Source organism: Homo sapiens, chromosome 1 (assembly GCF_000001405.40).
Source record: "Homo sapiens chromosome 1, GRCh38.p14 Primary Assembly".
Lineage (NCBI taxonomy): Eukaryota > Metazoa > Chordata > Mammalia > Primates > Hominidae > Homo > Homo sapiens.
In genome coordinates, this window is record NC_000001.11 from 211,271,897 (window position 1) to 211,298,496 (window position 26,600).

At 36.0% G+C, this 26,600-nt stretch overlaps 1 protein-coding gene across 26 annotated transcripts in view; it reads left to right on the forward strand.

The window, feature by feature from the left end:
• Window positions 1-26,600, forward strand: part of RCOR3 (REST corepressor 3) — a 57,020-nt gene that overhangs the window by 12,531 nt on the left and 17,889 nt on the right. For 14 of the 26 annotated variants that reach the window (NR_146432.2, NR_146433.2, XR_007061955.1 and 11 more), the window contains 6 exons: window positions 2,314-2,366; window positions 4,361-4,522; window positions 6,221-6,345; window positions 7,342-7,420; window positions 17,282-17,500; window positions 23,780-23,857. Coding sequence is in view for 19 of the 26 variants with exons in the window: in XM_005273191.6 (XP_005273248.1) it covers window positions 2,314-2,366; window positions 4,361-4,522; window positions 6,221-6,345; window positions 7,342-7,420; window positions 17,282-17,500; window positions 23,780-23,857 (716 nt within the window). In the remaining 7 variants the exon portion in view is untranslated. Of the gene's footprint in view, window positions 1-2,313; window positions 2,367-4,360; window positions 4,523-6,220; window positions 6,346-7,341; window positions 7,421-17,281; window positions 17,501-19,627; window positions 19,704-19,883; window positions 22,690-23,779; window positions 23,858-25,913; window positions 25,948-26,600 lie in introns of those variants that run through there. The other 12 variants (XR_007061958.1, XM_011509748.3, XM_047425021.1 and 9 more) reach the window with 4 other exon arrangements.

The following is a 26,600-nucleotide window of genomic DNA, read 5'->3' on the forward strand; positions in this document are numbered from 1 at the left end:
CCCTCCATTCAGTTATCATTTAGTTTATTAAATAACATCAACAACAACAACGACACTGAACAGTTAATTCTAGCAGCTGTAAGATAAACTTGTCTTTTTAGAATATTTACTAACATCTTAAAGGTGTCTGATTTATTTAGTACCATGAAAATTAATGATATCCTATCATGAATAGTAAGTTGAATCATGCTTATTGATGCAATAGAGCTAAAAATTGAAAACTGAGTATGTTTCTGCTTACCTGATAAATCTTTCTATTTAAGAGCTATAAAACACCAGCTAAAGGTCTAGCTGGTAATCTAGAAATTGTGTGCCCTTGAAGCATTCCTAACAGAAAACATGAAATTATTCATCTGGCCTGAGACTGTTTAATGAGAACCTGAAAGAGACTATTGGTTTCCCAGGTTCAATCCTCATTACAGACAAAGGTTTTCATTCACAAACTGAGCATCAGGGTATCATTGAATTTTGCTGGCTTAGTTCTGTTTTACACAATGGTTCATTTCTTAGCAAAGTGGAAAACAAAATTCAGCCAGAGTGTGCTGGTAGTGTAGTGTTCATGCGGAATATTTAAATGAAGGTGTAGTGCAATGGTTTTCAACCCTGGGTGTGCATTGGAATCACTTGGGGAATTTTTTTTTTTAAGTACTTATGTCTAGTCTCTTTCTCAGACCAATTAAGTTAGAGGCTTCAAGGGTGGATCCTGGATGTCTTACTTTTTTTTTTTTTTTTTTTTTTTTTTTGAGACGGAGTCTCGCTCTGTCGCCCAGGCTGGAGTGCAGTGGCGGGATCTCGGCTCACTGCAAGCTCCGCCTCCCGGGTTCACGCCATTCTCCTGCCTCAGCCTCCCAAGTAGCTGGGACTACAGGCGCCCGCCACTACGCCCGGCTAATTTTTTGTATTTTTAGTAGAGACGGGGTTTCACCGTTTTAGCCAGGATGGTCTCGATCTCCTGACCTCGTGATCCGCCCGCCTCGGCCTCCCAAAGTGCTGGGATTACAGGCGTGAGCCACCGCGCCCGGCCTGGATGTCTTACTTTTTAAAAGCTCCCACACTGATTGTAATGCATAGCCAGGTTTGGAAACCACAGGTCAGTTGGTATTGTTCAGCATATATTTAGACCTGTCATGTATTTAAGTGCTTTGGGCTGTAAACAAAATATAATATTTGGGTTTTCTACACAAAAAGCTTACCCTTTGGGGGGAGATTTGATAGCATACATTTAACAATTTTATTCTAATAGCATTATTATAAGAGTGTATTCATATATGAAGACTATACTGACTAATAATCACAGCAAATACTTAAAAAATTCTTAAAATGGACCAGGTGCTGTTCTGGGCATTTTCCATTTATTAACTCATTTAATCATAGGAGGAAGGTACTGTTTTTAACAACTATTTAGAGTGAGGAAACTAAGGTACAGAAAGGTCAAAAGTTACTTGGCCAAAGTCAAAAAAATAGCAATAAGCCGATAATCAAACCCAGGTAGACTAGCTGTTCCAGAATCAGGATTCTTAACCACTGCTTCTCAAAAATATTTCCAAAAAAGTTAATTTATACATACATACACATATATAAATTAATTAGAATCAAGGCAGAGTGATTGATTATATGGAGTTCACATAAAACTGAGTTCTGGTGAATGTGTCAGACTTCTCAGCAATGAGGCCTTGAAATAATAGCCAGTTTATCATCATTGAAACTGCTTATCTAAATAATTCTGTTGGCTTAATTACGTATGGAAGATAAATGAAAGTGGAATACTCAAACATGCTTTGTGTAACAAGCAGGAAGAGCTGAAGAAAATTTAGAGTACTGAAGCATACATAAATGTGTCGTTATTATGTATAGCTGGCAAAACTATAAACTATCCTTTATACATCAATCAAAAATGGAATGGTAAAGGCTTTGGATCAACTCGAAATATGTGAAAGTGTCTTAAACAGCTAAGTCTCCAAATAAAGACTATTAAAAAAGGAATTATCTTAATATTTTATACAACAATTAGATCTATTGGCTACCCATAGATTGGTCTTTTTCTGCATACAAAAATACAGTAATGTCATTGAATTTAGTAAGTATAATGTGTAGTCGTAGAGATAAGTTATACTAAATAAAATTTTAAACCAGGTGAGCATCTGATCTTGCTATGATAAGTCTCTTTTTGTAACATTTCATGGGAGGTGCCTTTGGCTTTTTTTTTTACCCTGGAATATAAATTGTTTTAATTTGCTATGTTAAGAACAAAAGTAGACCTAGGTAAATGAAGTAAATGAGAATAATTAATTATATAACATTATTTCATTGCAGTGGATGAATACATTGCAATTGCAAAGGAAAAGCATGGCTACAATGTGGAACAGGTATGTAGAGAAACACTTCAGTAGTAAGGCTTGTCCCAATATTTACCAAATCTAGATTATCTCATGATAGTTTCTGTCCTAACAGCGTGCATAAGCTTGACCAGCTATTTTATAGATACCACAAAAGTCCTAGCAAAGAGTGACCTTTCAATATTAAGGAGTTTGCTTTTATAAACATTATTCATCTCAAGGGCTTAAATGTTTTTCTTTCAATATATCTGTTTCTTATTCTACTTTGAGTTCTGAAAGTTTCTGGAAGCCTTCAGTATTCCTCTGGCAAATGCTTACCAAAATGAAAAGTTAAGGTTTTGGTGTAATTTGGAGTAAGTGTACATAGATAGAACTTTAAAACAAATCTTTTCTTTATAAAAAATTTTAATGATACAGGTAATTCTCTTTTGACTTTTTGTTCTACAGGATCTAAAAGTTAAACTTTACATTTAAAGGAATATTTAAGACTTTTAAATTTTGAATGAAATCACAAAAGGCTTTTTTTGTTAGGTAACTTCAAAAGGATATATCTATATATAATATATGTCTGTATGTAGAGTTAAGTCTCTTCAAATAAAAATTGTAACAAAATCAAGAAATTATCTCAATATTTTACACTATAATTAGATCTATTGGCTACCCACAGATTGGTCTTTCTCTGCATACAAAATATAGTAATGTCATTGAATTTAGTAAGTATAACATACATAGTTATGGAGATAAGTTATATTAAATAGACTATAATGTATTTATATGATGTTTATTATGTAATACACTCTATTATATATAATATACTATATATAGAGAGACAAATATATGGTACATTACCCTTAGTAATGAGGGAATGGAAATTACAGAATAATGAAATGAAAGAGATCTTAAATCTCATTTCAACTAAGTATTATTTCAACCTTTATCAGAATTAATAGTAAAATAGGTAGATTTGTTTTAAGATAAGTAAGAAAGGTAAATTATCTGTAACCTGGGTTATCAAGAGCTAACTTTATAGTCCAGTTACATGGTAAAGGAATGTTTTTGTGAAATTGAGATGTTTATTTTATATCTATCTAAAGGTAGTTAACTTTTTTGTGGATTTTGAAGCCTTTGATTGCCTATTTTGTTTTTAAGCCTTGTCTTTCTGTTTAATGTTTGAGAAAGTTAATCCTTTAAAATAGGACTATACCTTAATATGTTTGTTTTCCTGTGTATTTTAAAGGACTGTTATCAGAGTACAGAAATTAACAAACTCACTATTTATAAAGTTCCTATATCTCTTGGAAAATAAAAGTTTGTGCCCTAAATGATGCTTAATACCTTATAATAAAGAGAAAGGCCTACTAAAAATAGAAGGGGAAGTTATGGAATTTTTGGAAATTGTCCATTTCAGTCTTTGTTATGATTTGGTAATCAAGTCATTGAAGTTATTTATATGCCTCCTAATAATTCTATTTATATGTTCTGATAATAAGTAAATGTGGTTTAAAAAATTGTTAAAGTTGCAGTGGAGGTACTTTTACTTCTTGGACATGGTTAGCCTGTGATACACTTGTAAAAGATTAAAACTTAAATGTCTCTCTACTAAACCCCAACTGAGCATTTCTGGCTTTGTGGCATCTGATCATTTCATTCAAGTATGGATTTATTGGAAATTTTCCTTTTAGCAAATTTTTTCCTACATATTGACAAATTTTAAAATGTGGGTTAAACTCTTGGTGTGAACCTACAAATCTGCTTTGTAGTCACTCTCCTCAGCTCACTGTTTTTCCTAGATTCTGCAGCAAATATGGTATGTAAGAACATTCACTGTTCTGAGGCCCTGATTTAAAAGAAATAAATAAATGAGGTCTGCTACCTGAGCGCCCCTGATTTAAAGTCCCAAACTGTGAGTCTATCTTCAGTCGAAGTCATAGGCTTAAGATTTTAATCTAATTTGTGTTTAACTTTCTTAAGTGTGATGGAACATAAGTCCATTAAAACCAAAGGGGAATGATTTCTCTTCAAAGGCACTTGGCATGTTGTTCTGGCATAAACATAACATTGAGAAGTCCCTTGCTGATCTCCCTAATTTCACTCCCTTTCCGGATGAGTGGACAGTGGAAGATAAAGTCCTATTTGAACAAGCCTTTAGTTTTCATGGAAAGAGCTTTCACAGGATTCAGCAAATGGTATGGTAATTTTAATCTTACTGTGGTTCATATGTGAATGATATCTTAAGCTACTATTAAACACTTCCTAATTATTAAATACAAAAACATTCTTCAATTTAATTTTAAAAACTATTTGTAAGTAGGTATATTTATATACAATCCTGTTTTCTGCAACCACTCTTACATGACAGTTATGTGCTATTGCATTATAGTAAATTAGCTTTTATTTTGACTTAAATAACATGTAATAATATACATGTAATAAGAGTTATTTCGTATGTTTATTGTTCCAGGAAAAAAAATAATTTCAACTTTATTTTTAAATGTTTCACTCTTTGACACGAGGATTTTTTCCAATTTATATATTTTTGGATATGGAAGCCCTTTTTAAAAAATCCCATATTAGGCCGGGCGCGGTGGCTCACGCCTGTAATCCAGCACTTTGGGAGGCCGAGGCGGGCAGATCATGAGGTCAGGAGATCGAGACCATCCTGGCTAACACAGTGAAACCCCGTCTCTACTAAAAATACAAAAAATTAGCTGGGTGTGGTGGCATGCGCCTGTAGCCCCAGCTACTTGGGAGGCTGAGGCAGAAGAATAGCTTGAACCCGGGAGGCAGAGGTTGCAGTGAACCGAGATTGCACTACTGCATTCCAGCCTGGGCAACAGCGCGAGACTCTGTCTCAAAAAAAAAAACAAAAAAAACAAAAAAACAAAAAAAATATTATTTCAATATTGTCCAGATGGTGCTGCTTTTTTTCTTTCTTTCTTTTTTTTTTAATGGAGAGAAACTGCTCTGTATTTCTAGTTCCTACATTTTTAGTATTGTGTCAAAATAATGTAAATCTGAGAAGTTCCTGCATTAAACGATTTTAACCTGAGTAGATGAAAATTAGATAATATTTGCAAATATATCTAGGTGTCTTCCATAATGGAAGAGAACATTTTTGGTGGGGAAGTTGCATCCTTGTTTGTTACTCTGACAGATCAGTGCATGATCATTAGTCATTTTAATACTCAGAGACTTCATTTGATGGCCAAAGCCTGTTTGCATTATTTACCATTTTAAGACCTGGATTTAAAACAAAGTTATTCAGAAAAATTTGTTAAGAATTGAATAGCTTTTCTTTAAAACATCTTGCTAATTGAAAGAAGCAAGACACAAAAGGTCACATATTGTATGATTCCCTTTATGTAAAATGTCCAGAATAGGCAAATCCATAGAGACAGAAAGTAGATTAGTGGTTGCCAGGGACTGGTGGAAGGGGAGAATAGGGAATGATTGCTAATGGGTACCGGATTTCTTTTTGAGATTATGAAAATGTTCTGGAATTAGATAGAGGTGGTGATTGTACAAGTTAGTGAATTCACCAAAACCACTAATATGTACACTTAAAATAGAGAATTTTATTTTATGTGAATTACATATATTGAATACTAACATGGCTGCGCTGGGAACTTCTGGGGACATTCTCACCAGATTAGTTTGTGACCTCTTCCCCTCCTCTCCCAGAACAAATAGGAATATTCATTCAGAAATGTCAGTGAAATTGATATGGGATACTGACTGTAGTAGTACTTTTTAGCTCTATAATTCATAAAGGTACCCATGAAATATTTTTTTATTATGCCTTTACTAAATAGTAAAGATATCATCAAAATTATTCATTTTGTTTATGAATTAAACTTGCTGATATTAACATGATTTTTTTTAAGCTTCCAGATAAGACAATTGCAAGCCTTGTAAAATATTACTATTCTTGGAAAAAAACTCGCTCTAGGACAAGTTTGATGGATCGCCAGGCTCGTAAACTAGCTAATAGACATAATCAGGGTGACAGGTAGGTTGGTTACCTTCATATAGTTACATTGTTAGGGACACTGCATTGTATTGCTTACATTTCCTAAGGCAGAAAAGTTATCACAACACATTGTAAATATTCCTTATTCTTACATTTATGTTTCTACTCTGACAAGAAGAGCCAAGTGGTTAGAAGTTTTAATATTAAGAGCTCTTTCACCTCTTTTAATTTTAATCACAAATGCTTCCTTTTAGTATTGATATATTTAATACACATATTTAGAATATATTAAAGAATATGTTCTATGAAAAAGGTCTTTTTATAATTACCTGAGTAACTGAAACCCTTATTATTGAGGCTAAATCTTTTGATAGTATAAAATCATTTTGTTTCATTTTTGTCTGTCTTTATTCTCCAATGAAATTTAAGTATTATGTCAATTTGTATGTGTTCCCATTTCCCAAATGATATTTCTTTTTAAATCCCTTTCCCACTGGGTCTCTGTTTTTGAGCTAGAAGTGTTTGCTAAAAGAATTCTGTATACCCAATGAGATAAATGTTTCTGAACACTACAGAAATCTGAATTAAAAGCTCATCTTCCCAAGTACAACTCTTATTCTGTTAAATAATATTTAGTAAAATTATTTAGATATATATATTACAGTTTGATAAGAGCACTAGAATACAATAAAAAGAAGGGAATTGGTTGGGCACAGTGGCTCATGCCTGTAATCCCAGCACTTTGGGAGGCTGAGGCGGGCAGATCACTTGAAGTCAGGTTTAAGACCAGCCTGGCCAACATGGTGAAACCCCGTCTCTACTAAAAATATAAAAATTAGCCAGGCGTGGTGCTGGGCACCTGTAATCCCAGCTACTTGGGAGACTGAGGTGAGAGAATCGCTTGAACCCAGGAGGCAGAGGTTGCAGTGAGCCAAGATCATGCCATTGCACTCCAGCCTGGGCAATAAGAGTGAAACGCTGTCTTAAAAAAAAAAAAAAAGGGAATTAAGTGTACTAATTTTTGTTTCTTCTCAGTGATGATGATGTAGAAGAAACACATCCAATGGATGGGAATGATAGTGATTATGATCCCAAAAAAGAAGCCAAAAAAGAGGTAATGATGATCACTAGAAGTACTTGTGATTGTTCTACAAATCTGCTGAAAAAGAATGAACAGTACTTCGTATTAAGAAAAACTTTTTAATGTAATGCTTTATGAGATAGTAAATTTCAGTGTTAATTAGCAATACAGTCATACCTAGAACCCCAGTTAACCAAGTTGTTGAAAGTTGAAAATACCATTGAAACTGGAAAAAGATCTGAGTTTGTTTAAACTTAGCATTTGCTAGTTATGTGACCTCATTCAGTTTAGTGACTCTCATTCTTCTGAAGAAACCCAATGCCATGGGCCATTCATCACCTTAAGCTCTTTCATCAATGTTATTTAAAAAATTCTCTTCTACTGTAATTTTGTGTTTTACTGATTTTCTTTCTACTGCTAAATATTCTCAAATTCCTTAATTCCTTCATTTTCTCCCCCAAGTCTGCCTTACCTTTGTTTCCCAGAAACGTGGTCCCAATGATCAACTATTCGAATCTCCTTCTTTCCCATTTCCCCATTCCTTTAACTCCCCACTTCCCTTATCCTTCTGCTATACCATCCCTAACCCTGTAACCTCATGATGCTGGATTCGTTGCTATTCACGGTCTAAGAGATGCAGCAGGAGAAAATGATACAATTATGTAAATTGTTGCTACTATGAAAAACAGTTTCCAGTCTCACTGTAGTCCTTAAGTGCCTCAGTTTTTAATCTCTAAGTTCCAGGTTTTTTTCTTAGTAAAATGAAAATAATAGGATTGTTTTGAGAATCAAAGAGGTAATATGTATAAAAGCACTTTTTATAGTACCCAGGACATAGAAATCTTGGATACAAGTTGCTGTTGTTTTATCTGGGCAGCTGTTTTGAACATTCTTCCCTTCCTACACATTGCCTAATACCCCTCCACCCCTAAAAACACTTGGCAGATAACTTCATCCATGTCACAGAGAAAGTGTCAGACAGAAGCTCCCTTAAATTCCAGCCCTTCCTCTAACCTCTGTGCTACCATACTGGCCTTTCCACCGTGGTATATTAGTACTTAGAACATATTACAGTTACTGTATTTTGCCCACTAAGCTGCTAACTCTTTGAAGTCAGGGACTGAGTTATTCATTTGTATCCCCTAACACTTTGCACAGTACCTGGTATATGGCAAATATTCAATAAATGTTGATTCAATAAATCATTGTTGAATGAACAGTCTTGGGCCTTAATATCCCTCTCTCACAGTAAGAAGGATCTTCTTTCTTTTCCTATACAATTTCATTGCTTGTGTGATCCTATCCATCCCTTCGTATCTACTCTTTCTCCACCAGTTATCCTTTGTCTTTCGCATATTTTCAACCTTTCAGTGCAGCCAAAAAGTATGTTCAAGTCTTCCATTTAAAAGCGTTTCTCTGGCCGGGCTCAGTGGCTCACGCCTGTAATCCTGGCACTTCGGGAGGCCAAGGCAGGCAGATCACCTGAGGTCAGGAGTTCAAGACCAGCCTGACCAACATGGAGAAACCCCGTCTCTACTAAAAATACAAAATTAGCCGGGGCGTGGTGGCACATGCCTGTAATCCCAGCTACTCGGGAGGTCGAGGCAGGAGAATTGCTTGAACCCAGGAGGCGGAGGTTGCAGTGAGCTGAGATTCCAACATTGCACTCCAGCCTGGGTAACAAGAGCGAAACTCCATCTCAAAAAAAAAAAAAAAAAGGCATATGTCTTAACCACTCTAGAAAACAAATCATCCTTCTTAGCACTACGTCACTTTTGAGTTTGCTTTAGTCAGGCAGCTTCTGTCCCACCACTTCACTGAAACTGCTGACAGGTTACCAGTAATTTCCTAAATGCCACATCCAGTGATCAGTTGTATTCTGCTTGTGCTTTCTGTATCAAATTACTGACTGCTCCCTTCCTGAAAAGCTGTCTTTGACTTTCGTAATGCCATTCTGATTCCCATCTACCTTTTTAACCATTGTGTCTCAATTTTAGTGGCATCTTTTTCTTACTCTATTCCTTTTATCATTATTCTTTTTAATTCTGTCTCTCAAAAAACTGTGAGATTTGATCTCTCTGTTCTTCTCTGTGTGACTGCCTTCTTCTTAGGTTCTCGTCTCCTCTGAATTATCCTAACAGTTTTCTCTCCGATTATCTCCGTGCCTCCCTTTCCAGGTTCTCCACACCACCCTTTCCAGTCCATTGACTGCCCTGTTGCCAAAGCAATCCTTTGTAAAGTTGCTGATTCACTGCTTGCAATCCTTACATGGTGTCGTCTGTAGGATAAAACACAAACTCTCCAGTTAGGCATTCCTTACCCTTCCCCATTTATTTCAGATTACTAACAGTGTTTTAGATATGTCGTTTAGTTCCCTGGCTTTTGTCCTATGATTATGTTGGTCCCTTTTTTTCTGGAATTCCTTTCTTCCCAAATCTGCCTAGGAAATTCCTCACAACTCTACAAGATGTAGCTTCTCTATGAAATCTTGTGCCTTATCTTGAATTGACAACCTCCTTATTTCTCCTTAAATCTGTTGCAGTACTAATTCTACTGAGTGGTACTTGTTTACTCATAGTTTCCCCTCCCTGCCTTCCTGCGTGGTGAGCTCTTTAAGAGCAAGAATATATTTTAACTATTTTCCACTCCCAGGGACTGATGCATAGTAAGCATTTAGTAAAATTTTAATGAATGAGAATACATGCTATATGCTCTTAATTGTGATATAAACCTGAAAACTTAAGAATTTGCTACCTAGAAAATATATGTATGTATATATGTATGTGTATATATGTATGTATATATATGGAATATATAGTTTTGCCCAACTATGCAAGATGATGCATACTCATTTGGTCTTTTGTTTGCTTATGATCTCATCTTACCAGAAAATAATATGAGGGGAGTATAAGTTAAAAAGTTTTAAGAGGATACTGCAGAGGTGTGGTCCAAGACTAGCACTATGTGTCAGCAGCTTCATTCATTTCTCTGCTCATTCCAAACAATAAGGATACCAGGCAGGGAAAGAAACTACATTATTGCTTTTAATATAGATCTTTGTAGCTGCTTCTGCATGTTGTTAACATATTACATAGAAAGTTTTAATTTTAACTTTTAAAAGTTGTGAACTATTTAAAGAAAAATAATAGATACCAGTGTATCTACCACTGAGCTGAAGAAACAGAAGTCCTGTTTGTGTTTCCTCAATTGGATATTCTTGTTTTTTTTTTTTTTTTGAGAGGGAGTCTCACTCTGTCGCCCAGGCTGGAGTGCAGTGGCACGATCTCGGCTCACTGCAACCTCCACCTGGGCTCAAGCAATTCTCCTGCCTCAGCCTCCCGAGTAGCTGGGACTACAGGCATGCGTCACCATGCCTGGCTAATTTTTGTATTTTTAGTAGAAATGGGGTTTCGCCATGTTGGCTAGGCTGGTCTAGAACTCCTGACCTCAGGTGATCCACCTGCCTCAGCTTCCCAGAGTGCTGGGATTACAGGCGTGAGCCACCGTGCCCGGCCTCAATTGCATAGTCTCACCTTCTCTCTAGAGGGAACCACTATAATGAAATTTCTAAATTATTCACTTCTTTCTTTATAGTTTTATCACATATATATAATCACATATGATGATATGATTATCATTTAGTTTCATTTATTTCATACTTTATTTAATTGGAATCATATTGTATGTATTCTTCAGTACTTGCCTTTTGTTATTATTTTTGCGATTCATTTTTATTGCTATATTATAGTGTTCCATTGTATACATATACTGCAACTTATTCACTCTCCAATTAATAAACTTAATTTCCAGCTTTTTATTACGGACACTGCTGATATGAACATGTTCTGGATACACATGTCTGAGAGTTCCTTTGGTACAATAGTTCTCAGCTAGGTTTAGCACTGACCCCATAGGGGACATTTAGAAATTATGGAGGTGTTTTCATTGTTAACAGTGATTGTGGGGCATTTCAGTTGTCGAGTGGGCAGGAGAAAGGGGTGACAACTATACTGAAGTGCAAAGCACAGATTGTTTCACCAAAATGCCAACAGTGATTTACTGAGTAACAGGGTCCCAGGATTCTTTGGAATGGAGTCACTCTATTTTAGGGAATAGCCACATTAAACTTTCCTAGGTAATGGCATAATTGTTTTCTATAGCTGATATACCTCCACTAGACTGTGAGAATACCCATTGTATACTTCCTTGCCAATGCTTGATCAGACTTTTAAAATGTTCCAAATCTGGCAATATGAGAAGGCATTTCATTGTGTCCTCAGTTTCATTCATCAGGTAACTACTGAGGCTGAATGTTTTTCTATCTGTTTATTAGCTGTTGTTATATGTTTCGTTCGTGGAGGTTTTTGTTTTGTTTTTTTAGAGACAGAATCTTGCTTATTGCCCAAGCTAGTGTGCAGTTGTGTGATCATAGCCACTGCAGCCTCAAACTTCTGGGCTCAAATGATCCGCCTGCTTCATGCTCCCAAGTAGCTGGGATTGCAGACGTGAGCCAGCATGCCTGGCTTGTATTTTTTTTTTTTTTCACCCATTTTTCCACTGCGTATTTGTCTTTTTCTTAAAGACTGAATATAAAAAGTTTTTTCTTATTGAATTCTTTGTATATTCTGGATACGAGTCCTTTGGTTAACAGCAAATATCTTTTGCCAGTTTGTGGTTTGTGTTTTTACTCTCTACAGGGAAGTAAACAGCTATTTCATCAAAAGCATATAAATTTTAAATTTATTATTTATTTATTTTATTTTATTTTATTTATTTATTTATTTTTTTGAGATGGAGTCTCGCTCTGTCGCCCAGGCTGGAGTGCAGTGGCGGGATCTCGGCTCGCTGCAAGCCCTACCTGCCGTGTTCACGCCATTCTCCTACCTCAGCCTCCTGAGTAACTGGGACTACAAGCGCCTGCCACCACGCCTGGCTAATTGTTTTTTTGTTTGTTTGTTTGTTTGTTTTTTGTATTTTTAGTAGAGACGGTGTTTCACTGTGTTAGTCAGGATGGTCTCGATCTCCTGACCTTGTGATGCATCCGCCTCAGCCTCCCAAAGTGCTGGGATTACAGGCGTGAGCCACTGTGCCCGGCCAATTTTAAATTTAAATTCCAGTATTCTTTTACATTTTCTTTTGAAAATTTTAAACTTTTTCTCTTTTTACATTGAAGTCCTTGCTGTAGCAGTAAATAAGTTCATGTTGTGAGGTAGAGATCCTTTATTTATTTATTTATTTATTTATGTATTTATTTAACAGTTGGGGGTCTTGTTTTGTCACCCAGGCTAGTGTGCCAGTGACACAATCATAGCTCACTTCTGGCACAAATTCCTGGGCTCAAGCCATCCTCTTGCCTCCTAAGTAGCTGGGACTACAGGCATGCACCACCACACCCAGCTAATTTTTTAAAAAACTTTTTGTAGAGATGGGGTCTTGCTACATTGTCCAGACTGGTCTTGAGCTTCTGGGCTCAAGTGATCCTCCCACCTTGGCCTCCCAAAGTGCTGGGATAACAGGTGTGAGCCCTACCATGCCTGGCTATTTATTTTTTAATACGGAATTGAATATCTTTTTCAACTGGTCTGCAATACCAGCTTTATTTTATATGAGGCTTACGCATATGCCTGGCTCTCTATTCTGCTTCTGTTGTCAGTTAAATATTCCTTGCTAATCCCACATTTTTTCAATTACTTATAATAAGCCTCATAAGTCTTGATAGTTGCTAGGGTAAGTTCTGCTATTTGGTGGTTCTTCTTAAGGAGTGTGTACCTTGGTTATTCTTGGACCTTTGCTCTTCATAACTTATTTGTATTACTTTTGATTTCCTATATAGTGATTTATATTACCTGAAAATAATAGCTATTTTGTTTCTTTTTAGTCCTTGTATCTTATTTCTTCTCTTGCTGAACTGGTTAGTATCACCAATATAATTTGAATAGAAGATATGATAGGGAACATTTTTCTGATCGTAAAGAGAATCGTTTTTGTTTCAACATCAAGTAGGTTGTTATTAAAGGTTTTTGACTCATTCACATTGCTGGTAGTTGATGCTAGCTGTAGGTTGGAGCAATTCCATTTGGCCTCTCCAATTTGGTGGTCTCTGAGTAATCTAACTTCTTGCCATAATGGCTGGTTTCCTCCAACGTAATCAATCCCGGAAGCACTAAGTGGAAACTACTCAGCTGTTTCTGGCCTAGCCTTGAAAGTTACTCAGAGTCACTTCTCTTGCATTCAGTGGTTATAAGTGAGTTACTAAAGTTGGTTCAGAATCAAGGGGAAGGAATATAGACCCCTGCTTCCCCATGGCAGGAATGTTGAGGAATTTGTTGACATGTTTTAAACCTCCAAGCCCAGAGTATGGAATTTTCATAAATGTTTTCCCATGTGTGCTTAGGGATATTATCTTGGTAACAAGGTTTTATATATGTCCATTAATTTAGGTTTGTCAGTTCTGTAGTTGAAATCCATATTCTTACTGCTTGCCTACTTGATAGCTTGGTTTTTGTTGTCTGCTTATGTGATCAATTATTCTGATCACTCAATTACTGAGAAGTAGTTTTTTATATGTTGAAGTTAGTGTTATTAGGTGCATACAAATTGTTTTATCTTGCTGCTGAATTGAGCCTTTTATCAATATGTAGGGTCTCTTTTATTGGCTTCTGCCTTGAAGATTATTTTATCTGTTATGTTGATAGCTCCACCATTTTTCTTCTGTTAAGTATTTGCCTGGTTTATCTTTATCATTTTACTTTCAACATTTCTGTGTCCTCACATGTTAAGTATGTGTCTTATAAGGAGCATACAGCTGGGCGTATGTATTAATATTTTATCTGAAGAGTTAAGCCCATTTATATTGATCACATTTAGCTGATGTATTTTTGTTCTTTCTTATTTTTACCTTCTATTCAACTTGCTTTTCCTAGTCTTCTTTCCCTTCATTCGTGTCCTATTTTTGGGGATTAAGAATCCATCTCTTACTCAATTTTCTTTCCCTCTGTGTTTGTTTGGGATGTTTCTATATTTCTTTTCTTTTTTTTTTTTTTTGAGACAGTCTCGCTTTGTCACCCAGGCTGGAGTGCAGTGGCGTGATCTCGGCTCACTGCAACCTCCGCTTCCCAGGTTCAAGTGATTCTCCTGCCTCAGCCTCCTGAGTAGCTGGGACTACAGGCGCATGCCACCATGCTCAGCTTATTTTTCGTATTTTTAATAGAGATGGGGTTTCACCGGGTTAGCCAGTATGGTCTCGATCTCCTGACCTCGTGATCCGCCCCCCTCGGCCTCCCAAAATGCTGGGATTACAGGCGTGAGCCACTGTGCCCAGCCGGGATGTTTCTATATTTCTATTCTTATTGTATACTCTGAAAATTTTATCCTGCATATTTAACTTAAAATCTAATATTGATGTCTTTATTGACTTTCTGATTAATAGAAGGCCCTTAGAATGCTTTGACTGCATCCACTACCATCCTGATTTATATACTAGTTTTGTGCACGGTTTGTTACATCTTGGTTTTTTAAATCTCACAAATCAAACATATAGTCCGTTTTGTTTAGATTTACCCACATTTTTAACTTCTATTTTGCCCACCCTTCTTTCCTGAATCTAAGGGCTTTCTTTGAAAATAATTTCCTTTTTCCTGCAGTATATCCTTTAGAAGCCCATTTAGTGAAGACCTGTTGGTCATAAACAGATTTTTTGAGACCTGGGTTTAAAGTGCATTGTTCTAGAGAGGATTTGCATTTGCTTCTGTTATTTGTCTCTAGGCACTACCAATCTAAGACACTTTAAAATCTTGATTTGGGGTTTTTCAGGCAAACAGATCATATAAATTTAGGCCCTAAACCTGCCTGAATGGAGGACTGTGGTTGGGGCACTCTTGGGAGACTTTTTTTTGGTTTCTTTCCACCCAGCCAAGAGTGAGATGGACATGGCTCCCATTAATCACCCCCTCCCTCTGCAGAGCAGGAGTGTTTTTTTCCTACTTCACAAAGTGATGGAGTTCCCCTTTTAGCATTTTGGCTTGTCTCCTGTGCCCTGCACCTGTTGTCCATTGAAGCCTGGCTTTAGGCAAATGACAACTACTGCATACTTGATTCTCCCTCTGGATTCTTGCTTTCTCATCATTTCTGGCCTCGGAAGAATTTCCTCACTTCCCTGCCAGCTCAGAAGTGAATGTTAAAAGACTTTAAAAAATGTTTGATCAGCAATTTTAGTAGTGCCCTACTGGGAGGAGTTTCTCTGAACATCAGATCCGCCATGTGTTGCTTGGAGGTAGCTTCGAGCAATTAAGTGGATTATGCTTCATAATAAATTTTTAGTGGGTGCAGTGGCTTACACTTGTAATCCCAGCACTTTAGGTAGCCGAGGCAGTGGATCACCTGATGTCAGGAGTTGAAGACCAGCCTGCCTATCATGGTGAAACCCCATCTCTACTAAAAATACAAAAATTAGCTGGGCATGGTGGCGGGTGCCTGTAATCCCAGCTACTCCAGAGGCTGAGGCAGGAGAATTGCTTGAGCCCAGGTGGAGATTACAGTGAGCCGAGATCGTGCCACTGCACTCCAGCCTGGGGGACCAAAAAAAAAATTTTTTTTTGTTAACGAATTTTACTAAGAGTTCCTTTTCTAAGAAATTGGAGTATTAGGCCGGGCGTGTTGGCTCATGCCTATAATCCTAGCACTTTGAGAGCCCAAGGTAGGCAGATCACTTGAGTCTAGGAGTTTGAGACCAGCCTGGGCAACATGGTGAGACTCCCGTCTCTACAAAAAAAGAAAAATTAGCCAGGCATAATGGCACACAACTGTAGTCCTGGCTACTCAGGAGGCTGAGGTGGGAGGATCATTTGAGCCCAGGAGGTCAAAAGGCTACAGTAAGCAGTGCTCATGCCACTGCACTTAGCCTGGGTGACAGAGTGAGACCCTGTCTCAAAAAAAAAAAAAATTGGATTATTAAATATATTCATTGAAATAATCTTCAACCTAAAATATATAGTTTCTAGATTATTCTTTCAGAATAACGTGTTTTTATATCATACTTTAAGAACAACTTATAATGAAATAATGCCTAAAACTTCACAGTCATCATTGTTATACTTTTAACTCTTCCGAGACATAAATTTACTTTTATCATATATATTATTTTTTATTTTATTTATATTTTTATTATATTTATTTTATTACATTTTATTTATAAATAAATTTATAAATATTTATAAATTATTTTATAAATATATTTATAATAAATTTATAAATTATAAAATTATTTATAAATATTTTATTTATATTTTATTATATTTATTTTATTTATTATATTTATTATTTATTTTATTTAATCATAGATTTGGAAGTTAGAAATATTTTCAGGGTTAAGATAATTGTGTCCCTTTTAACCTTTAGAGGCGTAGTTTTCTTTCAGCAACTGTAAAGTAAAAATGAAATGTTATCTCTCTTTAACCAGCTGTCTAATCTGCTATTGTCATAATTTCTAAATTGCCCCCTTTTTTCTTTCTAATTTTTATTTTTAGAGGAACTTTGCATTTAATAAGGTGGCTTTTCCCCCCCTTTATTGCTGAGGGAAAATATATCACATCTTGAAGTACATAGGAAAGTTTAGAGTCTTAACTTATTTTTTCACTTATTCCTAGTCCTCTGGGCCTAAAAATCAAACATTTGATTGAGTGGATTAAGCAAGGATATATTATGTTGTATGCTTTTCCTCCCAGTTGGTGAGTGTTATGTGTGTGTGTGTATGGACTTGTACATAATATATAATTGGTTAGAAGTGTTTTTTTATGTGTACTTATTGCAGCAGATACTTCTAATATTAATAGACTGTTTTCACTTTATACATTTGTGAAAACCAAGTGACCTGTTATTCTGCTTTTATTCTCTTAGGGTAATACTGAACAACCTGTCCAAACTAGCAAGATTGGACTTGGAAGAAGAGAGTATCAGAGTTTACAACATCGCCATCATTCTCAGCGTTCTAAGTGCCGTCCACCTAAGGGCATGTATTTAACCCAGGAAGATGTGGTAGCAGTTTCCTGTAGTCCCAATGCAGCCAACACCATCCTGAGGCAACTGGACATGGAGTTGATCTCTCTAAAACGTCAGGTATTTTATAAAAATAATATTTTTAATGATTCTGTGCATTTTGGCTATCCGCTTTTACCTTTTACCTAGGTTGAGCTCAGTTGTTTGCAGATTTTTCTCAGCCATCCACTTATGCAGGTTTCATTTTTTAAAGTTTATCTTAAGTCCAACTTAGAAGATACCTCTGCCTGTTCTAGATTTGAATCCCAGCATTGCTGCCTGTTAGCTCTGTGGTCTTGGGCAAATTAACCTCTGTAAGCTTCAATGTTCTATCTATAAAATCGGGGATAATAATCATTCTTCTCTTGCAGGTTATTGGGAATTATTTGCAGTGATACATGTAGATTGTTTAGTAGTGCTTGGCACATTTTGAGTGCTCAGTGAGTGATGGTTGTTGTCTTCATCATCATCATCATCATTATCAGTAGTAGTACTAGTAGTATTGTAAGGGCAGCATCATCATAATCAGATAGTAGTTAAAAATCAGCATCTAGAGTCAGTGAACCTGTTAAGTTCTAACCCTGGCTATACCATCTCTTCCTGTGTAACCTTAGAGGAGCTCTTTAACTTCTTTCAGCCTCAGTTTTCTCATCTGGAAATGTGGATAATAGTATAGTGGTTGAGAGGAATTAAACAAGATAATATATGGTAAGTGCTTAAAACAGTGCCTGGCGCATATTAAGCTCAGTTATTCGTTGCTATTAGATCTCTGGCCTTTCTTAGTTGTCTTTTCCTATTTTTTGTCTGTTTTGTTATTTTTTTCTTATCCCTTAAATCTAGATATTCTTCTAAATCTGTACTTTCTTGGTCTATATCAACCAACCCTATACCTATGCCAGTGACTTCTGAATCTTATTTCTCAAGCTGTGGCTTTTCTCAAGCTCCTTAGCTATAGTTCCAGCTGCCTGCTAGGTCTTCCCCAAAAGATTTTTTTCTCTGTTTCCTGTCTGTTGAAACATCAGAATCATCTTTTATTCATCCCCTGCTGTTATCCCTTTCCCAACACATGTAAACCAAAGTGGTAACCAAGTTATGTGAGTTTTGTCTCTGAAATTTCCTTTAAATCAATTCCCTCTTTTTTATCTCATCACTACTGCCCATTTAGGCTCTTGCTATCGCTTGCCTGACAATAACTATCTTGTGGATTCTTTTTTTCTCCTCATTTTTTTTATTTTAATTTTTTGTAGAGAAACGTTCTTGCTATGTTACCCAGGCTTGTCTCAAACTCCTGGGCTCAAGCAATCTTCCTGCCTGCCCCTCAAAGTGCTGGGATTATAGGCATGAGCCACCACGCTCGGCCTCTTGTTGATTCTTTCTATTACTTCTCTTTAGCTGGAGGTTACACATTGTTGCCAGTGTTATCTTTTTAAAGCACTGGTCTGATCACTGTCACTCATCTTAAAGCTCTTTGTTAGTTTCTACTTGCCTTTAGCAGGTTACAGTAGAGGTAGACAGGGATTTATAAGAAAATCATGTTAAGAAATTTGAAATTCATCCTGAGTTAGGAAACTGCTGAAGGACTTTAAGGAAAGGTGGACCATGGTCATATTTACATTTTCCAGCTATATCTTTTGCATTTTCTTGTTTGTTTGTTTGGTTTTTTTTTTGCTTTTATAGTTGCTTTAGTGATTACAATATTCATCCTTAGCTTATCACTGCATATTTAGTTAATATTACAGTAGTCCTCCCTTAATCCGTAGTTTCACTTTCCATGGTTTCAGTTACTTGCAGTACAGTACAATAAGATATTTTGAGAAACAGACTATATTCACATAGCTTTTATTACAGTATATTGTTATAATTTTTCTATTTTTAATTAGCTATTGTTATTCTCTATTGTGCCTAATTTATAAACTAAACTTTATCACAGGTATGTATATATAGGGAAAAACAGTACAGGTTGAGCATCCCTAATCTGAAAATCTGAAATGCTCCAAAATTTGAAACTTTTTGAGCACTGACATAATGCTCAAAGGAAATGGTCATTGGAGCATTTTGGATTTTGGGTTTTCGGATTAGGGATGTACAACTGGTATATATTATGCAAATATCCCAAAATCCCCTGAAATTTGAAACACTTCTGGTTCCAAGCATTTTGGATAAGGGAATACTCAACCTGGATATGTTTTGATTTGGTACTATCCACAGTTTCAGGCATCCACTGGGAGTTTTGGACTGTATCCCCTGCGGATATGGGAGGACTACTATATTCTGCTTACAAAATGTAAGAACCTTGCAACAGTATAGTGTGGGATCAAGATTCTCTATCTTAAACATGTTCAGATTTTTCTATTCCTTGGTCCTGGTTATTCACCCAAACTGCTTTTCTGGTTCTCTAACATAGGCCACATTTGCTTCCTCTGCTTTCTTACCAAAACTTATTCTCCAACCCTTTCTAATCTAGCTTCTGCCCCGTATGGTATTCCAGTTCTACTGAAACACCTCTCCGAAGATCATTTATGGGCTGACATGGTGGCTCATGCCTGTAATCCCAACACTTTGGGAGGCCAAGACAGGAACATCACTTGAGGCCAGGAGTTTGACACCAGCCTGAGCAACATAGTGAGACTTCATCTCTATAAAAAAAATTTTAAAAATAGCCAAACGTGGTTGTGTGTATCTGTAGTGTAGTCCTAGCAACACAAGAGAGTCTGAGGAGAGAGGATCGCCTGAGCCTAGGAGTTCAAGGTTTACAGTAGAAAAAAAAAATCACTTATGAACAAGTGGCCAACATCTAATGCTGCCTTCCTGGTTTTTAGCTCCTTTGACTACTCAGTAATGTTTGACACTGTCAGCCATGTCTTTCTTTTTGGAATTTCTTTCACTTGACTTTGTGACTCTCTGGAGTATGTGTGTTTATAGTACATATTTAGAAGGCAGCTATCCTCACCACTATACCACCAACGCATCTCATATTTGGTTAAATGCTTAGCCTTTAGTCAAACTATGAATGCAAGATGCCTAACTTCCAAACCACAGCAATCCTCTTTAGAAAACTTCTAAATCATTTGCTGTAATACTTTAAATGCACTAAAAACATAAAGGAATAAAGTGTACTCAGTCACCTGTATTCATACTTCATTCTCAGTACTACTACTCCTACACTTAGGGACTATTTTTATTGATTTTTTTAGAAGGCACTTTAAGCTTTAACTTCCTAACTTGGTTATTCATTTGATGTGTGACACAGTAAAGGTTTGCACTCATGGGTTTACAAATCCTGTTAACCACTGCTACTTTTATGTCACAAACATCTCATATGCAGTGTTCAAACTGAGTTCTTCCACACTCACCATAGTTATCTGTTCCACGTTTTGTATTTTCTGTCTCAGTGAGTAGTGCCACATACTCTCAATTACTGAAGCCAGTGACCAGTTAGCCTCAATTCCCCCTAATTCTCCACAATCAGGTATTTACAAAGATGTCTTGGCCGGGTGCAGTGGCTCATGCCTGTAATCCCAGCACTTTGGAAGGCCGAGGCAGGTGAATCGCGAGGTTAGGAGTTGAAGACCAGCCTGGCCAACATGGTGAAACCCCGTCTCTACTAAAACTACAAAAATTAGCCAGGCATGGTGGCAGGCTCCTGTAATCCCAGCTACTCAGGAGGCTGAGGCAGGAGAATAGCTTGAATCCGGGCTGCAGAGGTTGCAGTGAGCCGAGATCGCGCCACTGCACTCTAGCCTGGGCGACAGAGTGAGACTCTGTCTCCAAAAATAAATAAATAAATAAATAAATAAATAAATAAGTCTTAATTTTGTTTCCAAGGTATTTCTTTAATCTCTGCATACCACTACCATCCTTCCTTCATTCCTACAGTTTTAATGAAAGTTTTCTTAATTATTTATTATTTCTCACCTGGATTGTTAAATTAATTTCCATCCTCTTTACCCTATTTTCTTCTTCACATTACTACCAGAAGTGTCTTTCTAAAAGGCATATATGGTCATTTTGTTCCCTTGCTTAAAAATCCTTTAGGTTTCCTTCAATCTTTAGGCAAAATTAAAATTCCTCGGTCTGGCCCCAGTCTAACTTCTTGCCTTTTCACCTTAGGGCTTTTCTGTCTTCCTAAGCGTTATTCTGCCTGGAATGCAGTCCCTCCTCCCAAGCTTGTCTGCCAGTTTAATTCTTTAAAACTCAGTTTAGCTGTCCTTTTCTTTGGAACACTTTCCCTAATCTTCCCCACCACCTGTTCATCAACATATATAGAAGCACATTTACTCTCTCATTCTCTCTCTTTCTCTCTCCAAGTCTATGTTAGGTGTTTTAGCGTTTATCATAGGTTTATGTTTACTTATCTCCCCACTAGTCTATGAAATCCTCGAGAATTCAGACTTTACATTTTATCTCTGTATGTCTATCTAACATGGCCAGCTGACTACCCTTGAACCATCCTAGATTTTATGCATTTTAGCTGTGGTTTTAAGATCTCTAGTGAAAATAGTTCATAAATTATAAGTATTTCGTTGTCCACACTAGGGGGGAAAAACAGAGGAAAAAAGTAAACAATCCTAACCCTTAACAGTCTAAATGGAGACTAATAATATTGCTAGTAGAGTAAAAGTTAAAAACTTGGTATAGTTTAAATTCAGGTTGTATCTCCTAGCCTTAGGAAGGTTTCTTAACTTCTCTGTGCCTTATATTCCTCATCTGTAAAACTGTTATAATATAAGTAGAGTCTGTTCTGCTATAACTTTTTTTGAAAATGTGGATTTGTCCTAATGCAGTTAATATACTCTGGAAAAATTTGAGCATAACATGAATTTTTTGTTTGTTTATGTATGATTTTTGTCAGCAAAACAAAATGTACCCAGCTGAACTGAGCGCACACACATCTCAAACATGTAGCAGCTACCTCAATTCACTGTATGTTATGAACCATACATATATGGTGTTAAAACTTTTCATCTGATTTCAAGTAACCCTCCTACCACTTGCATAATAATTCACAAACTACAACCATTTTGACTCCCACTTCCATAAGCAACCTTCAGGTTTTTTTTCAAGGTAAAGTACTGTCTTTGTTGTAGCATTTATGGATTAAAAACAAATCATTTAGATTGTGTAAAACTGTGTTGCCATTTTTATTAGGTTCCTGTCTTATGTGTCATTGAAGTTTTTTAATGTTGTGTCCCAACCTCTTTTACCCTACAAGCCCTGTGGTTTTTATTATGAATTTTGCATAGCACACACTGACTTTTCTTTCTTTCTTTCTTTTTTTTTTTTTTTTTTTTTGAGACGGAGTCTCGCTGTGTCGCCCAGGCTGGAGTGCAGCGGCGCGATCTCAGCTCACTGCAAGCTCCACCTCCTGGGTTCACGCCATTCTGCTGCCTCAGCCTCCTGAGTAGCTGGGACTACAGGCGTCCGCCACCACGCCCGGCTAATTTTTTGTATTTTTAGTAGAGACGGGGTTTCACCATGTTAGCCAGGATGGTCTTGATCTCCTGACCTCGTGATCCGCCTGCCTTGGCCTCCGAAAGTGCTGGGATTACAGGCGTGAGCCACCGCACCCAGCCTTTTTTTAAGACAGGGTCTTGCTTTGTCGCCTAGGCTAGAGTGCATTGGCATAATCACAGCTCACTGTAACCTTGAACTCCTGGGCTTGAGCAATCCTCCCACCTCAGCCTCCTGAATAACTAGGACTACAGGTTCATGCCACCATGACCAGCTAATTTTTTTTTTTTTTTTTTTTTTTCATAGAGACAGGTTCTCACTATATTACCAGGGTGGTCTCAGACTCCTGGCCTCCAAAAACACTAGGATTTTAGGCATGAGCTACTGTACCTGGCTAGTTCAGTGACTTTTAATGTATTTATCATGTTATAGCAGAACTGATTGTACTTACCTCACAGAGTGGTTTTGAGAATTAAGTGATTTATTACATATAAAGGACTGAGAATGATGTTTTATATATAATAAATATCTAATAAATGTTAGCTACCATCATCATTACTATTGGAAAAATTCTTATTTAGTCAAAACACTATGGTAATGAGAAAAATTGGTGGAATTTAATTCCTATGTATGCCAGTTGTCTTTGGTTATAAAAGTTGTTGCTAAAAGATATTCAAAACCATGATATTCAAAGATATTCAGAGTGTTTTAGTCTGTTAGATGTTTAATTAGTTCATACATGTATAAGTTGAATTAGTGGCATGTCATACCCCAAGTGTGATTAGTATGACTATTCTCCTAAAATAAAATTTAAGAGGGGTTTGGAATATATTCTTTTCACTTAATTGAGTACTCACAAATTTACCTAAGTACGCGATCTGATTCACATTTGGGGTTATTTTGTTGAAGGTTCAGAATGCTAAGCAAGTAAACAGTGCACTTAAACAGAAAATGGAAGGTGGAATTGAAGAATTCAAACCTCCTGAGGTATGTTATTGAAGGATACATGTGATTAAGTATAGTGAAAACTTGTTTTTTCAGTTATCTAGTGCCCAAGTACTATTTTGGTCACATGCATCATTAATACTTTGAAGGTTTCATAATATGGATAATTTATTATGTCTCTTTTTATTTAGATGATCTTATGAGGCTTGGTTAATCATTTTGTATTTAAGTTAAATTATTTATTTCCTGCCCTTAGAAATTCATAGCAAGCCAACAATTAGGGAAAATAGTAGTAGGAACAGTGTATGTGAAACTAGAAGCTCATTGACGAGCAAGCTAGTGTATTTCTGGGTCTACAGCAATGTTTGCTGAAAGCCCTTTCCTGCTTGTGTGAATTGGTAACACGGCAAGAAAAATATCATGAAAACAAGCTAGATTATTTTAACGAATTTTTATTTTAATTTAAGATAATTGTCTTTGGCTCAGCTTCCACTTATGATTTTAGTATGTGGACTTACATTCTTGTACTTACAAAAACAAGGTATAGATTGACCATTTTCTCAAGTCTTCTATTTCAGTTGAAACCTAAATATGTTTTTGATACCTGTGGTAATTATAGGGGTACTTAACATTCCCTTAAGGTCCAATCAGGTCTTTTTCTAGGAGCTTCTATTATATCTTTTTTCTCTCTTTAACATTTCCTTATTATGCTTCATATCCTGGATTTGCCTTTCTGTGTTTGTGATAATCAAATAATCTTATTTGTTCTTATTGGGACTTTTTTTCCCCAGAAGGGGAAAAGAACTTGGTTGACTGAAACATCTACAGATGAAATTTATGTGAGGGGCTATGGGGAGGCAGAACAGTAGTACTTCAGAAATTATGTACCATATGCCATCTTAGTCATCAGTGTCTTTCAGAAAGGAAGACTTATGAAAAAAGTTGTTTTTCACTGTTTTGAATAATCTCTTTCAAGAAGGTTAGGTTATGGAAAAGAGTGAAAAATAATACAAAGACTGATATCTCATTCCTTGACCACAGGTAGACTGACAAACATTCTAGTAACAATTATTTAAGGATAATATAATACCAAAAATTACTATTTTATTTTGTTATATTATTGCAACAAAAATTATTTTAATTTTGTATTATGCACTAAAATGCATGAAAGCAAACAATTTTAACTGTCTATAATTTTGTAATCTAAAATGTAAATAAAATACCGCAGATATTAAAAACATTATGGGAATAGCAGGAAGAACTTGATACTAGTAAGTGTGAAAAATAAAACATTGAAATTCCTAGGAAAATGTGTCTTATCAAAATTGCCTGAAAAAGAAAGAAAAGCTGAATAATTAGTAATCATTAAATAAAACGAAAGAATAATTAACATTTTTCTCTCACAAGAAAACTCCAGGCCCAGACAGTTTTACAGAAAACATTTACTAAGTTTTCAAGAAAAGGATAATTCTAATCTCATATTTTCCATAAAATTATAGGACAGTCTCACTCATTAACTTTATATAAAGAAAGATGTTAAAGTCCAGTAGCATTTTATAGCTTCCCTATGTGCTATCTCATTTGATTTTTATGTAAATCCATACAGATAGGTGAACCAGATACTATTATTTTACATGAGGAAACTGGAAATCAGGGAGGTTAACCAACTTGTTCAAGGTGACAGAACTAGTAAATAATGAAACTCTGGCTATAGCTCATCTTTTCAGAGTCCTGATTGGACTTCTATATTAGTATATGTCATGTTGCCTCTTACATTTGGAAGTTTTTATGTAATAGCAAAATTGTATATTACATTTCCACATTTTAATGCAGCTATTGGGTGAGAAGTTATCAGATATTTATTGTAATTTTTGATTTATTATAAAAATAATGATCAAAATAAAATAACCAAAATGTTAACACTCCACCATCCATATACTGAAGTTTGGATATTACTTTGGGTTGATTTATTGAACTTATATGATATGAAAAATGTATATATGTTGTATCATCTAGAGAGTCCTCAGGATATACTTATATTTGTCATATTGTTCTTACTGCTTTGGAGAGGAAGGCAACTTGAATAGATGTGTTTCAGATTAACAAGTACAGTAAAGAACTTGAAGAATCAGGTAATCTATCTCCTTACCTTTAGTTTAAACCATATCTAATCAAAGAATGTTAATAAGCTTTGGAATAATTACAATAAGCCATCAAGTGAAGTAACTCTACTAAAAGTAAGCTGTTAGTAAAGTGCTTTACTTATTAATTTGGTTGTATTTCTTATTTTCATTTAGGGAAAAATGGGTTGAAGAAAGTCCATTCACTTCCACAAGTATTTATTGATTAACTGTTTCATATGAGGCACTGTGTTAGGCCCGGTGAGAAGTGTGTGGGAAGGGGGAACACAAAGATGTGGACAAGATGATGTGATTTTTCCACCTGCTTTTTAAAAAAAAAGAACTTGCAGTCTAGATGTTATAAGACAAACTGATCAAAGTTGTATGATAGATTTATAAGCAAAGTATACAGGGAAACAAGTGGGCATTATTCATTCTGGCAAGGACAGTTAGAGAAGACTTCTTAGAGGGGGAATACTGCAGCTGAGGTTTGAAGGATAAGAGGGATTTTTTTGCACATACAGAAAGGACCATAGAGGTCATTCCAGGCAGAGGGAATAATAGCAATGGTTTAGTGTTGAACAGTACATTCAAAAATATAAATCTAGTAGGGGAAAATTAAAAGCACTTTTAAAAATGAGTCAACAGGTATTCCCTGAGCACTT